The sequence below is a fragment of the Homo sapiens genome, chromosome 12 (genome assembly GCF_000001405.40).
Source record: "Homo sapiens chromosome 12, GRCh38.p14 Primary Assembly".
Taxonomy (NCBI): Eukaryota; Metazoa; Chordata; class Mammalia; order Primates; family Hominidae; genus Homo; species Homo sapiens.
In genome coordinates, this window is record NC_000012.12 from 93,983,482 (window position 1) to 94,002,636 (window position 19,155).

The 19,155-nt window shown below is 38.7% G+C and overlaps 1 long non-coding RNA gene across 1 annotated transcript in view; it reads right to left on the reverse strand.

The window, feature by feature from the left end:
* Window positions 1-19,155, reverse strand: part of LOC105369912 (uncharacterized) — a 41,668-nt gene that overhangs the window by 13,806 nt on the left and 8,707 nt on the right. The window contains exon 2 of the long non-coding RNA XR_001749263.2: window positions 12,851-12,923. This is a non-coding gene — a long non-coding RNA (uncharacterized LOC105369912). The remainder of the gene's footprint in view (window positions 1-12,850; window positions 12,924-19,155) is intronic.

Here is a 19,155-nt window from a genome sequence, read left to right on the forward strand (position 1 = left end):
CCAGGTAAGATGTCTTCTGGAGTACAAGTACAAAAGCTGTGTTTATGGCTCTTTCCATTTTACAATGAACTTTCCTACAGGTTGTGGAATTTAGCATGATGGGATGACCAAGTGCTAGTTGCTGTTGTTGTTTAGATTGGTAGGGGTCATTTGTTGGTTATTTTGGCAGGCCAGTGTCCATCCCACATTCCTTTGGTAATAGTGCCTAGTTCCTTCTTGGGATTTGCCTCTTCCCTTGGAGACAGTCTGGTAGGACTTTGATCAAGTTGTGCCACTCTCCCTCAGTCAAGGAGCAGGCACATGAACTGGGGATCTATGGGCTCCCTCCCTACACTTTTGGCCTTGACCAGAAAGACAAACAGATTGAAAAAGAGTAGACCCATTTTAACAAGGAGTAGCTCCCAGAAAAGAAAGCTGGGTGTTCCTGACACCATAAAGATCCATAAGTGTTCCCTGGTGCAAAGCCTGGTGCTCCAGCCATTTCTGAGTTTGGTCTCTGAGCCTATTGTTTTTGCTGTCCTGCTGCCTTCCAAAAATCTCCCGTTTTGCTTAAGTTAGCAAGAAAGAGTTGGTTTCTGTTACTTGCAACCAAAGAACCCTAGCTGCTACAGATTCATGTACTCAAAGTTTCCACTACAGATGTTCAAGGGAGTGGAGACTACTGGTAAATCCAATAAGCTGATTATGTGAATATTGATTAAGAAAACTTCTACATATTTTATGAGGGCTATTACACAATACCATATCTTGTTTTCCTTACATCTCCCTGACCTGAAGTCTCTCTTCTAATTTGTTGTTTATTTCAACTCCTTTATCAAACATTCCCCAAGATATAGTGAATGGGCGATATATTACCTAAAACCCTGATTATCCACAATATCTTTCACCCTGACAGATCTTATGGGAGTAGAAGGGGGTGGTACTTTGATTTTTAAAAATAATATAAAAGATATGTGTATTTGACTTTCAATTTATAAAATGAAAGGTAATCATTTGTGGAAAACAAAAATATAGCAAAAGATTCAAAAATAATGGGAGAAAAGGGGCCATGTAATAATAATAATGTATCTTATTGAATCGAAGACAATATCAGTTGTTGGAAACACTATTATTTAATGTACTATTAAGAAGAAAAAATTGCTACCAATGAATTTACGGCACACTATCCGCTCTAATCTAAATTTTTGTGTATCCCAAATTCATCTGTTAGATCCTTCTGCCCAATTTGAGGTAGAGCCTTTGGGAGGTGATTAAGTCAAGAAGACAGAATCCCCCTGAGATTAGTGTCCTTATAAAAGAGATTGCATAGAGATTGCATATGCCCCTTCTTTCTGCTCCTTCTGCCATATAAGGTTACAGTGAGAACAAAGCTGTCTGTGAGGAAGCAGGCCCTTACTCTGAATCTGCCAGTGCCTTGATCTTGGACTTCCCAGCCTCCGGAACTGTGAGATCTAAATTGCTGTTGTTTATAAGCCACCCTATTGTATTTTGTTATAGTAGATTAAACAGACTAAGATACCATTCCAACTTCAGAGATATTGCAAAAAGGCAAAAAAAAATGTTTTAAAGTGATGAAATTTGGTAATAAAACTGATAGCTCAATGTATGGAGTTCTAACTAAATGGCAGGCCCTGTTTATTTTTTTTTTTATACTTTAAGTTCTAGGGTACATGTGCACAATGTGCAGGTTTGTTACATATGTATACATGATGGCAGGCCCTGTTCTAACTGTTCTACATGTATTAATTCATTTAATACTAACAATCTAATGGAGTAGTATGCTATGTAAGTATACAGGTATGATATACAAGTAATATCCATAATTAGCCAAACAAATGGCTTAGAACTAATGTAAATTCAAAGTGGAGTTATTAAAAGCTTTATTTGAACTGACAAATTTATGTTTCAATCAAAGCAATAATTAAAATTGTGTGAGAAAGCAGTGCTCTGATTTTTTTTTTTTTTTTTTTTTTTTTGAGACTCACTCTGTTGCCCAGGCTGGAGTGCAGTGGTGAAATCTCGGCTCACTGCAACCTCCACCTCCTGGGCTCAAGCAATTCTCATGCCTCAGACTCTGGAGCAGCTGGGACTACAGGCACCCACCACCATGCCTGGCTAACTTTTGTATTTTTGGTAGAGACAGGGTTTCATCATGTCAGCCAGGCTGGTCTCAAACTCCTGGCTTCAAGTGATCTGCCACCTCAGGCTCCCAAAGTGCTGGGATTACAGGTGTCAGCCACCATGCCCAGCCTTGATGTTTTCTTTTATGAAATCAATATCAAAAATTGTAACCTTGTTTTTTACTGAAAAATTCATTCTTAGTTTTGTTTCAATCCTTAAAATTTAAAAACAAAATGCCATTGCTTCTAAGCTTTGTTTTCTAAATCTTGAAAGGCCCCTGGGCCAAAAGCAATCAATATTTTGCTTCTTTCCCTGTCTCTATTCTAGGCTGTGTAAGTTTACAGTGTTATTCAGCATTTCTCTAAAGGTATTTTGTGGAATACTGGTGTGGAGATGTTCTGTTGTAACTTGAATAAATCCCGGGGCCTACGTGGCCAGTCTCAACAGGGTTAGCATTCAAAGAAACAGTTCAGTAACCAAGTGTGATCACTCTCTTTCACTTTCTTTCATTTCTCAAAGAATATTAAAGAAGATCCAATCCATAATTCCTAACTTCATTTCTTAAATTTTTCTTTTCCTCATTCTTCTCCTTTTACAATTGTCTCACATCTCAAAGCTTTCTCAACACCTCTCTTCCCCCATTTTTTTTCACTCAGCTCCACACCAAATTATCTTGGACACCCTCTACCTTTGCAGGATCTTCTCTTTTCTTCCTCTTCCTGTTTCTTTCCATCACTTTAAATTTCTTTCAAGAAAGCCCTGACCCTGTCTGATGACAATCCCTCATTCCAGATACCCTGAGTCTTCCACTTCTGATTAGTTGAGGATGTAGAGTGAGGACCATGAGATGAATATCAAATTGAGGGAAAGGTGCTGAGTGAACAATGTTAGACGTTTTCATTGAGGGTACAGGTCAAGAAAGAGGCAAACCATTTGTTCATACATTAATGATATTTTGTTTCTTTACTTTAAAAAATGCCCTGTGGTCATTTATATTCATGAAAATTTACTGACACATTAGTATATCAAAGGCTCTGAGAAGTCTTGCAATTAAGAATCTGAATTATCTTTGTTTTATCTAGTATTTCTCAAACACGTTTCAAAATGATAATTTTCATCTCCCTTCCCCACTTTACACACGTAAGTACCCATGAAGATGATTAGGGTAAAGTGGTCTTAAATAATAAAAGATATAACAAAAACAATTGAAAGTATATTTGTAACATACACATAGCTTTGTTGGATGGATGTTTCAATGAGGACAACAGTAGTTTGAATGCAGTATGCATTTTTCACATAACATGGAAAGTAGTGCCATTTTGCTCTTTGTCTTGCAGTTGGAATATGAGATAACCCATGCAGAATAGCTACCAACTGAGTCTGTCTGGCCAGCATTTACACAGATACAGTTGCACAAGTGGCCCTGTACAACAGTTATCCTTGAATTTGATTTGTCAAGATGGTTTGTGTTATTACCTCTGTGGTATCTTGATTTACCTTGGGTAGTGGCCAGTCCCTTAAGTTAATGTTGGCTATTAGCCCATTAGCTGTTACATGAGTTTACTGTCAGTGGGTGTGGAGGGTATGATTATTTGCCGATGGACTTGTCCACAGCTAGAGGTAATATGTACCTGGGTGTCTGAACAAGTTTTCATGAGGGATCATCTAGAAACGATTGGAAAACAGCACCCGAAGCCACATGTGCTCAGTTTGGCATGCAAAACCTTGCATACTAGATTCAGTAGTGGGGGCAACAGGTGATGAATAATTTGCAAACTGGTAAAGTTTTAGTTGGACCTGATAATATTGGGAATCTTCCTATATAAAGATACAGAATATTCATTATTAACAATAAAAAAACAGACAATAGATAAACAGATTTTAGGCAATCTAAGAAGAAAATTTAAATATTCTGGCTCTTTTTTTTTGCCTGTTTTACTTTGGATTGTTGGTATTTGGAGCAATGCTGGATGCCACGACTCAAAATCATTATCATTGCTTGAGACTTATAATTTGTTTAAGATTTGCACCACTTCAACATAAATGGCTGGTTTTACTAACATTCCACCTGAAATTCTGTATACTTCCATGGACATCTTAAAAAAATACATATCCACAAATTTGCTCAGCTTAAGGAAAAATTGGAAAAAACTTAGATGCCCTAAAATAGGGAATCCTTTATTATATTACATTCATATATGGTAACCATTAGTGCTGTCCACCAAATATTTCCAATTCTCCTGCTGGACACATAGTAGGATTTCATTTCTTTCCCACCTTAGCTTAAGTGAGGCCATGTGACTAGCTTTAGCCAAGGAAATGTGAAAGGAAATACAATGTGGCATCCAGGCAGAAACTTTAAGAGCCAATGTATCACCAAGGCAATCCTAAGCCAAAAGAACAAAGCTGGAGGCATCACACTACCTGACTTCAAACTATACTACAAGGCTACAGTAACCAAAACAGCATGGTACTGGTACCAAAACAGAGATATAGATCAATGGAACAGAACAGAGCCCTCAGAAATAATGCCACATATCTACAACTATCTGATCTTTGACAAACCTGAGAAAAACAAGCAATGGGGAAAGGATTCCCTATTTAATAAATGGTGCTGGGAAAACTGGCTAGCCATATGTAGAAAGCTGAAACTGGATCCCTTCCTTACACCTTATACAAAAATCAATTCAAGATGGATTAAAGACTTAAACGTTAGACCTAAAACCATAAAAACCCTAGAAGAAAACCTAGGCTTTACCATTCAGGACATAGGCACGGGCAAGGACCTCATGTCCAAAACACCAAAAGCAATGGCAACAAAAGACAAAATTGACAAATGGGATCTAATTAAACTAAAGAGCTTCTGCACAGCAAAAGAAACTACCATCAGAGTGAACAGGCAACCTACAAAATGGGAGAAAATTTTCGCAACCTACTCATCTGACAAAGGGCTAATATCCAGAATCTACAATGAACTCAAACAAATTTACAAGAAAAAAACAAACAACCCCATCAAAAAGTGGGCAAAGGACATGAACAGACATTTCTCAAAAGAAGACATTTATGCAGCCAAAAAACACATGAAAAAATGCTCATCATCACTGGCCATCAGAGAAATGCAAATCAAAACCACAATGAGATACCATCTCACACCAGTTAGAATGGCAATCATTAAAAAGTCAGGAAACAACAGGTGCTGGAAAGGATGTGGAGAAATAGGAACACTTTTATGCTGTTGGTGGGACTGTAAACTAGTTCAACCATTGTGGAAGTCAGCGTGGCGATTCCTCAGGGATCTAGAACTAGAAATACCATTTGACCCAGCCATCCCATTACTGGGTATATACCCAAAGGACTATAAATCATGCTGCTATAAAGACACATGCACACGTATGTTTATTGCGGCACTATTCACAATAGCAAAGACTTGGAACCAACCCAAATGTCCAACAATGATAGACTGGATTAAGAAAATTTGGCACATACACACCATGGAATACTATGCAGCCATAAAAAATGATGAGTTCATGTCCTTTGTAGGGACATGGATGAAATTGGAAATCATCATTCTCAGTAAACTATCGCAAGAACAAAAAACCAAACACTGCATATTCTCACTCATAGGTGGGAATTGAACAATGAGATCACATGGACACAGGAAGGGGAATATCACACTCTGGGGACTGTGGTGGGGTGGGGGGAGGGGGGAGGGATAGCACTGGGAGATATACCTAATGCTAGATGATGAGTTAGTGGGTGCAGCGCACCAGCATGGCACGTGTATACATATGTAACTAACCTGCACAATGTGCACACGTACCCTAAAACTTAAAGTATAATTAAAAAAAAAAAAAAGAGCCAATGTATAATTTTTTTTCCCATGGTCAGTTTTTCTTCTACCTGGGTCCTGGAGTGAGAACATTATGTCACAGAGCCGATCCCTAACTGATCTGCAATTGACACATAGAGTGGGCAAGAAATTAAAAATTGTTTTATGTCACTGAGATTTTGGGGTTATTTGTTACTACAGCTTAACCCAGACCATTCTGGCTGATAGGCCACAATGGGACACTAAACAGTTCACGAAAATTACATAGTAGAAAAATGTCAGATGATAAAGGACAGATACAGGTTATATATTCAGTAAAAATTGCAAGTTTTAAACAAGTATTGGTTAATCATTGAAAAATACATATGAAATGGAGTTTCCTGGGATAGACTGGATCTTTAGAATTCTGAAGCTGAAAATAATTCAATGAAAAAACGTGTCTTTGGTAAGTGTCCATCAACATACGGATAAGCAAAATATGGCGTATACATGCAATAGAACATTATTCAGTCTTAGAAAAGAAAATCTGACATGCTACAACATATGAGGACATTATGTTAAGTGAAATAAACCAGTCACAAAAAGATAAATGTTGTATAATTCCACTTATATGAGGTATAAGTGTAGTCAAAACCACATAGACAGAAAGTAGAATGATGCATGCCAGGGACTGGAGGAGACGGAAATGGAGAGTTGGTGTTTAATGAGTATAGAGTTTCAGTTTTACAAGATGTGAAGAGGAAAACAAATCATTCCCTTTTCCTGGGCTTGGGAGAGGGCTTTGGGTCTCTCCTGCATGAAATGGAGAAGCCTGATGATTCCTGGTGTTGAAGAGTAAGCTCACCCTGGCCTCAGAGATGTCAGTTGGTGGTTGGGTGGGAGCCAGCCTCAACCTATGATTCTAAGATTAGTGTGGGGGCTGAGGCCCTTGGTCCCCTAAAGGTTTGTTGTAAGATCACTAACATGAAGCAGATTGATGAATAGGAGAAAAGGCACACACATTTATTTCACATGTATACATGGGAGGCTTCAGAATGAAGACCCAAAGAAACAAGGAAAATTGTCCATTTTTATGCTTAGGTTCAACAAGGTATGGACAGCCACGTAGAAATATGATTGGACAAAAAGGGTCTGATCTACTGTGAATAGACTGAGCAGGGAGACTCCACAAGGCCTGTCTGTTCAGGTTCTTCTTGGTCTCCCTGTGTAGCTTTCCTTCCTTCTGGGTATGGGGACTTTTACCCTCTCTGGAATGGGGGCTCTCTGCAATGGGTGTCTTCTGACCTACAGTCAAACAAGGTAGGTCAGATCATTTATTTCTGGCCCGTTTTTGTATGGAATATTTTTAGGTGTTTTGGCTGGCTTTCAGGAAAAGGGGTTCTGGTTTCTATGCCTCGCCTTGGGGGAAGAGGGATTCTAGTTTTTATGGCTAGGCTTGGGTTGCAGGGGAGGGCGGGAGAAGATCAGAGAAAAACTTTTGCTTCCGTGGCTGCTCTGAGGCCTTCATTTTGGTGTACAGTTTTTTCAGCCCCAGCATTAGCCATTTGGTCTGGGAGCTGGAGGGCCTGTGTTGCCGTTTAGAGGGAAGAGCCAAGGAAAGAGTGTGTCCCTTCCCAAGGCTCTCATGGATGTATGAGGACCAGTCAACAGCGAAGGGTGGCTGACTGTGACAGAGCCAGCAAGAGAGGATTCAGTCACAGAGAAAAAAATGCAGGCCCCCAGCCAGGGTCCTCCCGCAAAGTATGACAATTCAGAACTACTGGGGATGATACAGACAACATTCAGCCTCCAGTGTGTGTTCCTGTCTCTCCCTCTAGAGGACAGTTCTCGCTCTCAAAGTGCGCTCGGTGTGTCGTGTCGCCATGGTAAAAAGGCAGGAGACAGCAAACGCTTGATCCGAGCTGCACCATGCCTCGTTTTCACTCTCCCTGAAGACAAAAGAAGGTGGCAAGTAAGGAAAGCTCACCCCAGGGAGTTTTCTCGGAGAACACAAGCGGTCCCAACAGGGTAAAGGAGAAAATAATTATCTGGAAAGGTTGCAATTAATAGTATCAGGTTTAACCTTTGTGCTAATATGGGAATCTAAGGCACTAAGTCATCGCCTAAGACCTAGTGCTCTCTGTACGACAAAGCTTTAGTCTTATAATGTGGAAGTCAGTGCTTATTACATCCAATGCCTGAGTTCCCAGCGGACAGAGTTCCTTCTCAGGCAGCCGGCCAAGGACACCAGAAATTAAGCAGGGGTCTGTGGCTCTGCCGTCTAGCTATGACCAAATTTAAATTTGTGCTTTTTGCCTTGCCTGCCAGTGAACCTGCTGCTAGACTGAGATGTAAATGCCATTTCTGGTGTACATTAAGAAAATGTGAAACAATTAGCTCAAAGCCGTGGTTATGGAGCAAAAATATTAAAAATATAAGTTAGAAAATCCTTGTGACAATGTTCATGTGAATGGTGAGGGTAGGGAGTCCATTGCATATATGTGTGTGCATGTGTGGAGGAGTACGTGTGTTGAATAAATATGCATAAAGAGTGCATCAGCAGTAGATCCAAGAACTTATGTATGGGGGTGGGTGTGGAAATCCACATTTTAGTAACATTTTTTCCTTCTTCACAGTCAAGTGACGTTTCTTCAAACATCTGTTCTGTGAGCAAAGTAGGGAGGGACGTACATCAGTGTTAAGTGCTTGGGAGAGGAATTCTGGAGGAACACTACCCACTTAATTTAGCTCAGCTCTATGAAAGATTGCAGGGTTTGGGACTATTTCTAGCCACATCTGAGAGTCTGTGAAAAGTGGAAGTAAAGTCATTAAGCGGAATGGGCATTTATACATTTGGTAATTTGTCTTGAGTCAGAAAGTCTAGACACTCCCCTGGGAATGGGGGGAATGTGGGCCATGGTTATGACCTTCAGGACTCTGGAAACAGGAATGACAAAGACCTGGAAGGTCCTGAGGCAAATGGGCTCAATAGATCTTTTTTTTTATTTGAAACAGAGTGCAGTGGCACAATCTTGGCTCACTGCACTCTCCGCCTCCCAGATTCAAGCGATTCAGCTACCTCCTGAGTAGCTGGGATTACAGGCACACACCACCACGCCTGGCTAGTTTTGTATTTTTAGTAGAGACGGGGTTTCACCATGTTGCCCAGGCTGGTCTCGAACTCCCAGGCTCAGGCTAACCACGTGCCTCGGCCTCCCAAAGTGCTAGGATTACAGGCGTGAGCCACCACACCCACCTTCTTGGTGAAGGCACATAAAGCAAAATGAAAGCCCACTGGTCTGGTGTTCAGACACAAGCCAGGCCTCACCCGACTTGGAGACAGGCAGCCCCAGCCAGCAAGAGAGTTACAGACCTCAGCTAGATCTGGGGACCACCAGTTTCCTACCAGGGCAACCTGAGAATGTACTCTCTCTGTGCCGCAACTCTTTCCCCTCTCAAATAGGCACAACCATTGTAACAACCAGAAGAGCTAACATGGATGAAGAACTTCCCGCGTACCAGGCACCATAATAAATGCTAGATCCATGTACTCTTCTTGATAATCCTACAATGTAGTATTATTATATTTCATTGATTCTAAGATGTTCTTTTTTTTATATTTTAACATTCTCTGTTATCAGGATGAATAATTGATAAGAAAGCCTGTAAGTCATGGTTAAATTTTTTTTTAAGAGACAGGGTCTTGCTATGTTTTCCAGTCTGGTTTTAAACTCCTGGCCTCAAGTGATTCTGCTGCTTCAGCTTCCCAAAATGCTGGGATTACAGGCATAAGTCACCGCACCCAGCCAGTCATGATTAAATTTATACTTTTAAATCTTTTTTAGTGATATATAAATTGATGATGTGTTAGATTCAGTGAGGAAACTGAGGCAGAGATTTGAAAACTGAGGCACAGGTGGGCTGAATAACTCGCCTAAGTTCACACAGTTAGAAAGTGGTAGAATGAGAGTTTGACTCAATGCTGTTTCTAGAGTTGACTTTCTTCTAAGGTGCTAGACTTCCTGGTCCCTCCACTTACCAGCTGTGTGATCTCAGGCAAATTCCTAACCTCCCTGTGCCTCTGGGATTTTTTCATCTGTGAAATGGTGATAATAATATTAGCAACGGCTTCATAGGATTGTTGTGGAGGTTAAACAAGTTTACATATGTAAAGTTCTGAAAATAGTGCCCGACATATGGCAAGTATTCAATAAACTTTAGCTACAATTACTTTTTCTTCTTCTAAAGAGAAAACCAGCATCACTTGTTACGTATAGAAGACAACTGGAAAAAAGAGGGTTGTAACTAGCAAAAGGAGAATAAGTTCATCTCTGTGTCCCTAAAATCGTCTTGGCCCCAGGACAGGTATGCTTACCATATTTTGGGAAATGGCTTTTTGTTCTATCTCTCAAAAATTGAGAGATCAAGTGAAAGCGAGATGGGGGAAAGTGGCTGAGAGGGAGTGGCTGTGAGAGGTGAGGAGGGAAGGACAAACAGAAGGACAAGGTAGGGCAGCAGATCTGGGGCTGCCCTGGGTTTGCTTCAGAAGGTGGGAACAGCATGGTGCTTATGCTGGGGTGGCCATAGCAGTTGGAAGGAGCTATACTGACTGGAATGAAAAAGAGTTTCAATCTGCAGGTTGCAATTCATTAGTAAGTTATGGGATGAACTTGGTGGGTCACAATCAGTATCTTTAAAACTATAGGAGCAGAGGCCAGGTGTGATAGCTCACACCTTTAATCCCAGCACTTTGGGAGGCCAAGGCGGGCCTGATCATCTGAGGTCAGGAGTTTGAAAATAGCCTGGCCAACATGGTGAAACCCCATCTCTACTAAAAATATTTTTAAAAATCAGCCAGGAGTGGTGGTACACACCTGTAATCCCAGCTACTTGGGAGGCTGAGGCACCAGAATCGCTTGAACCCGGGAGGCAGAGTTTGCAGTGAGCCGAGATTGCACCACTGCACTCCAGCCTGGGCAACAGAATGAGACCCTGTCTCAAAAAAACAAACAACAAAAACAAAAAAAATACAAGGGAAGGCAGGGGAATGCAAGGGAAGGCAAAGTAAATATCAGAGGATATCATATGTAATAACAATACATATTGTTTTATTGAACTTGTATCTCAGTTAAGAGTGTATAGATGTGTGTAATGGGTTGAGATGTAAAAGGTTCTCCGTGGGTCTCAGTGCAAAAGTTTGGAAGCCACTGGACTAAAGCAAAGATAAGATTAGGTGTTGGCTGAAAAATAAATATACAGTATAAATTTAAAGTAATATGTTTTATATTAACAACCAGGGACCCCTGCTTTCTAGTGTAGCTTTCTAGAAGCATTCAGGGACCGTGACACACCACATGACATCTGTAAAACACTCTCCCTTTCTGCACCTCTTGGCCTTGGGGAAACTACTCACCCCCGACACCACCCCTCAACCCTGCCCAGATCCTGGGCTGACTTTGACTTTGCCTCTCCTTGGCTCAGCCACTTTGCCTTAGACCCAATTCCTGTCCCTCTCTCCTGCATCTTTCCAGATGTCCAGGATAAGGGCCAGCTTTTGTTGATCCACACAGCCTGGGACTCCACACAGGAACCTAGTCACCTCCAGAGGCTGAGCTGTCCTCTTTTGTGTTTTATGTAAGTGTTCTTGAAATATATATGACAAGGAATGACAGTGAATTGGAGAAGTAACACTCCCCAGTAGTGATAGCAGCTCAAACTCATGTGGGGCCTGAGTCTGAATAGGCTCCAAATCATGGGTTGGGTGATGGATCCTAAACCAAGAATTATGGCTCAGATTGGAACCAGGTAAAACAGCTCTGAAAGAATAGATCTAGCTTCATTTATACTAAAAAGTAAACAGAGGCAAGTATTAAATCTGAATCAAGTTAACATTGTTTAAAACATACACATGCGGCCAGGTGCGGTGGCTCATGCCTGTAATCCCAGCACTTTGGGAGGCTGAGGCGGGTGGATCACCTGAGGTCAGGAGTTTGAGACCAGCCTGACCAACAGGGTGAAACCCCATCCCTACTAAAAATACAAAAATTAACCAGGCATGGTGGTGGGTGCCTGTAATCCCAACTACTCAGGAGGTTGAGGCACGAGAATTGCTTGAACCCAGGGGACTGAGGTTGCAGGTGAGCGGAGATCGCACCACTGCACTTCCTCCTGGGTGACAGAGCGAAAAAAAAAGCACACATGCAAATTTCAGAATAATGGGATCAAAATGCCTTCCAAAAATTTCGGAAGCTTTTTCTCTGACAATACTGAACAAGGCCAAGTCCAAGTGGTATGAAGCAACTCTCAATAAGATGCCTGGCACAGGACCAGCCGTTGCTTCCTTCCTAATGTCTATACTCATCAAGCCACATGAACTTGTGGCTTGATACTTGAATAACTATTTTTAAATTATTTTTGACCTGCAGGTAAAACAATAACTGGAAATCGTCAGTTTGCATCATAGGGAGGTCCCCAGAAGAAAAAGAAGTCAAATCTTATCAATATGTAAAAATGGAGGTGATCAGCCTGTTTTGCAAAAGATAAATGAAACATAGACATTAGCAGACTCATTATAATTCATTAAAATTATCTCAAGGTTAAAGAAAAGACAAAACCTGGGCATCATTGAACATGATAAAGACTTCACATGCAAGAATTCCCATAATGAAGGCATTTAAAACACAGCTACTACATTTGTAAACTTATGTTGTTTGCAATTCAAGTATACCTTATTATTCAGTGGCTTCTTTTTGGTCACTATTACATAAGTAACTTTTTCATTAACTATTTATTCTTCTTATTAATAGAATATATCCCTCACTTTTAATTCATTTTTGAACTGATTTTTATATAACCTTTTACAAATTTCCCAGAATTTTTAGAAACCTAACTATTGAATAAATTGAGACATGAATATATTACCTCTTAAGTCTTGTAGAAAACCAGGTCAAAGTTGGCAGGAGACAGGAGAAGAGGTTGGCCAAATCCCTGGGGTCTAAAAGGGATAAACAGCAAATTGGTTTTATCCTGAGGCTCTGTACCCAGGACCTGAGCTTAGAGGAGGCCCAATTTCTTCACAGCCATTCCTCAAAAGCATTCCTGGAACTCCCTACTTGTAAGCTCCTTTAGGGCTTGTGCACATTCTCTGGGATTTTCTTGGAAGTAGCCAACCTTCATTCTTTTCAAAATGGCCAAAAGTCAGTTGGATTTAGATCTGGTGGATCAGGTCAAATGCATTTAAACAAGCTATGACTTTGAAGTGACAAGTCTGTCTTTCTCATTTAGTTCATAAACAGACCGTGTAGGAATAAACACATCAGTTCCTTAAGGGACATGGAAAATTGTGTGGTGGGTGGGGAATAACTAACAGAATTATTAATCTTAATGGCATGCAGCCATGATTAGAGCTAATAAAGTTGATGCCAAAGCTTGACTTTAATGTTTAACAACAAGGAAAAATTAAAGATAAGGAATAAATTCTATCTCTTCTAATAAGAGCTAGATTCCAGGACAATCAAAAATTCCAAGGAGAAGAACCGAGAGCCAGAAAGATCTCCCAGAAATGTTCCCTTCTGTAGGTAATTCCTCTTCCCTCTCAGGATTGAAAAATAACCAACCTAAACTGGGGAAGGGCGATGGAAAAAGGAAAGAAAAGTTCAGCCCTTTCTTTGTTGATGCAAATCACATGTATAATATCAAAAATTAGAAAATAAAGCCACTCGTAAGCCTGGCATGGAGAGATAAACCCTGTTAATATGTTTGGGCATATTGCCTTCAAAATGCTGATATATAACATATTTGTGTAATTCTGTATTTACTTATATATGTACATATAAGTAGACATACACACATAAAATATATTTTTCTTTTAGATGGTATGCTATGGATGCTTTTTAGTAATTTTGCTTTCTGTTAATAAAATGAATATTTTACATGTCAACAAATATATACTTATTTTATAATTTTAGATGGCTACTTCACAGTATTTTCATGAATAGATCATAATTTATTTAATCGAAGCCTAATTTTGAACATTTACATTTTTATAAGTGTTTATTTACTGTTTATAAATGCTAAGGTATCCCTATTCAGGCATACAGCTTTAAGCATTTGCTCAATTTCTTCCTCCCCATGGTGGAAGAAGGTCTCCTTGCTATGGTCCGAATATTTGTGTCCCTCCAAAATTCATATATTGAAACCTAACCTGCAGGTGACAGTATCAGGAGGTGGGGCTTTTGGGAAGTGATTAGGTCAGGAAGGTGGAGCCTCATGATTGGAATTAGCAACCATAGAAAAAGAGACACCATGTGAGGTCAGAGCAAAAAGGGTAGGCTGCCTATGCAGTAGTAAGCAGGCCCTCATCAGACTCTGCTGGCACCTTGATCTTACACTTCCCAGCCTCCAGAATGGTGAGAAATAAACTTCTGTTGTTTATAAGCTACCCAGTGTTTTGTTATAGCAGCCCAAATGGACTAAGGCACTCCTGATATAAATCAAACATTGAAAATTGTAAAATAGGAAGTCCTAGCCAGAGCAATTAGGCAAGAGAAATAAATAAAAGGCATCTAAATAGGAAAAGAAGAAGTCAAACTATCTCTCTTTGCTGATGATATGATTCCATACATAGAAAACCCTAAAGACTCTGCCAACAGGCCCCGGAACTGATAAATGACTTCAGTAAAGTTTCAGGATACAAAATCAATGTACAAAAAGCAGTAACATTTCTCTTCACCAATAACATTCAAGCTGCGAGCCAAATCAAGAATGCAATTCCATTTACAATAACCACACACACACAAAATATACCTAGGAATACAACTAACCAATGAGGTGAAAGATCTCTATCGTGAGAACTACAAAACACCACTGAAAGAAATCAGATAACACAAGCAAATGGAAAGATACTTTCCATGCTGATGGATTGGAAGAATCAATATTGTTAAAAAGGCCGTACTGCTCAAAGCAATCTACAGATTCAATGCTATTCCTATCAAACTAACATCGTTTTTCACAGAACTAGAAAAAATGATTCCAAAATTCATATGGAGCTAAAAAAGAGCCCAAACAGCCAAAGCAATCCTAAGCAAAAGGAACAAAGTTGGAAGCATCACATTACCTGACCTCAAACTATACTATAAAGGTACAGTAACCAAAACAGTATGGTACTGGTACAAAAACAGACACACAGACCAATGGAATAGAATAGATAACCCAGAAATAAAGCCACACACCTATAGCCATCTGGTCTTTGACAAAGTCAACAAAAATAAGCAATAAGGAAATGACTTATTATTCAATAAACAGTGCTGGGATAACAGGCTAGCCATATGCAGAAGAATGAAACTGGACTTCTACCTTTCACCATGTACAAAAATTAACTCAAAATGGATTAAAGATTTAAATATAAGACTTCAAACTACAAGAATCCTAGAAAAAAAACTAGGAAACACCATTCTGGGCATCACCCTTAGGAAAGAATTTATGACTATGCCCTCAAAAGCAATTGCAACAAAAACAAAAATTGATAAGTGGAACCTAATTAAAATAAAGAGCTTCTGCACAGCAAAAAGAAACTATTGACAGACTAAACAGACAACCTACAGAATTGGAGAAAATATTCACAAACCAGGCATCTGACAAAGGTCTAATATTCAAAATCTATATGGAACTTAAACAACTAAACAAGCAAAAACAGATAACCCCATTAAAAGTGGACAAAAGACATGAACAGACATTTCTCAAAAGGAGACATACAAGCAGCCAACAAACATATGAAAAAAATGCTCAATATCACTAATCATCAGATAAATGCAAATCAAAACCACAATGAGATACCATCTCACACCAGTCAGAATGGCTATTATTAAAAAGTCAATAGGTAACAGATTGTGGAGGGCTGTGGAGAAAAGGAAACACTTATATGTTGTTAGTTGGAATGTAAAGGGAATGCTTACACACTGTTGGTGGGAATGTAAATTAGTTCAGCCACAGTGGAAAGCAGTTTGGAGATTTCTCCAAGAACTAAAAACAGAATTAACATTTGACCCAGCAATCCCATTACTGGATATATATGCAAAAGAAAATAAATTGTTCTACCAAAAAGACACATGCACCTTATGTTAATTGCAGCACTATTCATAATAGCAAAGACATGGAATCAACCAAGGTGCCCATCAATGATGGATTAGACAAAGAAAATGTGGTACATACACACCATGGAATACCATGCAGCCATAAAAAAGGAAGAAATCATGTCCTTTGCATCAACATGGATGCAGTTGGAGGCCATTATTCTAAGCAGAATAATATAGAAAAACAAAAACCAAATACCACATGTTCTCACTTAAAAGTGGGAACTAAACATTGGATACTCATGGACGTAAAGATAGCAGCAAAAGAAACTGGGGACTATTGTGGGGAGGGGGAAGGAGAAAAAGGGTTGAAAAACTAACTATTGGGTACTAATGCTCAGTATCTGGATGAAGGGATCATTTGTACCCCCACACTCAACATCATGTAATACATTCAGGTAACAAACCTGCACATGTACCACCTGAATCTGAAATAAAAGTTGAAATTTAAAAAAAAGAAAATTGCAAAATAATAAATACATTAAGGAAAAATGTAAAAGCCACCTTTCTGAGAAAACAACATTTCAGTGACCATTTTTCCATGTAACTCTTTCTGCATTATGTACACATAGGCATAATATATGTGTGTGTGTATGTGTGTGTGTGCATGCTCATTTATGTGTGTTTTTATACCCACACAAGATTTAAGGGGGACATTTTTAAAGGGATTGGTGATATATAATTCTCTGTATCTTAACAATATATAATGGAAATTCCTCAAGATCAGGTAGTATAGGTAATTAATTTTTAATTCTTGGATAAAATTCTACTGTAAGCATTATTATCATTCAGCTATTCTTTTACTAATAGAGTTTTGATTTGCTATCAACTTTTTGTTATTAAAAATAATGCTGCAGTACATACACACTCACACACACACACTTATATATACTGGGGCTTTTATTTCTATAGTATAGAGTCCCAGGATTGAGATTCTGGGTTGAATTGCAAGTGCATTTAAATTTTTAATAGAGATCACGAATTGCTTTTTCACATTTCTACCAGTGATATATGAAAGTGCCCTTGCCCTGACTCCCATCTCTGCTAATAATAGGTGCAGTTACTCTTTGATTTTTGCCACTCTGATGGCTATGATCATGGTAATTTTCATTTCCCTTTCTCTGCCTATTGGAGGAGATTGAACATTTTATCATACTTGCTCTTCTGCCAATTGCCTATTCATATCCCCAACCTATTTTGCTATTGGGTTGATTATCTTTATCTTATTAAATTGTGACATAGCTTTTTTTATATATAGATGCAAATTTTTATCTATCATTTGATTTATATTTTTTCCAGCTTGTTTACCTACTGATTTTGTTTTTGGTATCTCTTGCACTACAAATAATACCTTGAAGTTTTATAAAGGTTAGGTTGATCACCTACCTTTGTTTAAAATATTTCTTTAATTCTTAGGTGTACAGATAATAACCTAATTTTTTATAAAATGGTTATTTATTTATTTTTACTTTCAAGTCAAATTCATTAGGAATTTACTTCATAATTAATATAAACTAGGGGGTCCACATTTATTTTCTTCCAAGAGCATATCCAATTGTGATGAGATTATTAATTAAATTTCCCCACAATGATATAATGAAGTATCATCTTCATGAGGTATTACACAATTCTGAGATCTCTTTATTATTATTTTTTACTGATTTTTTTGGTAGTCTTGTGCCTATATTGTACTGTTTTATTATACTGGCTTTTAAGTAGTTTTAATACTGTCATTCTTTTTGTTTTTGAGACAGAGTCTCAATCTGTCACCCAGGCTGGAGTGCAATGGTGTGATCTCAGCTCACTGAAACCTCTGCCTCCTGGGTTCAAACGATTCTCCTGCCTCAGCCTCCTGAGTAGCCTGCCACCACCCTAGGCTAATTTTTGTATTTTTAATAGAGATGGGCTTTCACATGTTGGCCAGGCTAATACTATCATTCTTTATTCATCAATTTGAATATTTTATCCAATTAAAACTGCCAGAGATTCTATGGAAGTTGTACTGAATTTATATACTATTTTCAGGAGAACAGCTCTATTTATGAGAAAAAGTGTCACTTTTCAAGAACGTGGTGTAAATTTCTAATTGTTCAGATCCCATTTTTGTCCTCCAGTACGATTTTATTTTTTACATGGGTCCTATTCCTTTGTCATATAATTTATTCCTATTTTATGATTTTTGTTACTATTATGAATGGAATAGTTTCCTCATTTTCGTTTGTATGTGGGTATGGCTTATATAGAAAAAGCTAATCATACTATATCTTTATGTTGTATCTACCCAATCCATCAAATTCTTTCTTTTACTTCTATTTACTTTTTTTACTAGAGTTTCTTGATGATATCAGGTATAAAATTATATTGTCAGCAAAAAGTTTCACCTCTTTCTTTCCATATTTATGCTGTGCATATTAGGTTTATTGCATTTACTAAAATATCTAAACAATATTAAATAATAATAGTAAAAGTAGGTGTGATTTGTAAACTATATATTTGGTCTTCATCCTGTTTTCTGGCATACAACTCCTAAAATCCTTGGAATCCCCAAAGTGATAAATGTCTTTTTGTATGCTAATAAGTTGACTGGTGGCTGGCAGCCCCTAGATAGCTTCATGATGGGGGCTGGTCACCAGAAAAACCAATGGTCAATTAGAGAGTGGGGACTTTGCAACCCTGCTCCTTTGCCAAAATGCACTTCAAAACATTTTGCATTTATAACTAACATTTGGGATTTATTTAATGCAAATCTAATAGTATTCAGGATTAGCCAGTTATAATCAGACTGGTAAGATAATTTTCAGCTCTTTTTTTATATATACTTTAAGTTCTGGGTTACGTGTGCAGAACATGCAGTTTTGTTACATAGGTATACACGTGCCATAGTGGTTTGCTGCACCCATCAATCCGTCACCTACATTAGGTATTTCTCCTAATTTTATCCCTCCCCTAGCTCCCCACCCCCTATAGGTCCCTGTGTGTGATGTCCCCCTCCCTGTGTCCATGTGTTCTCATTGTTCAACTCCTACTTATGAGTGAGAACATGCGGTGTTTGATTTTCTGATCTTGTGGTAGTTTGCTGAGAATGATGGTTTCCAG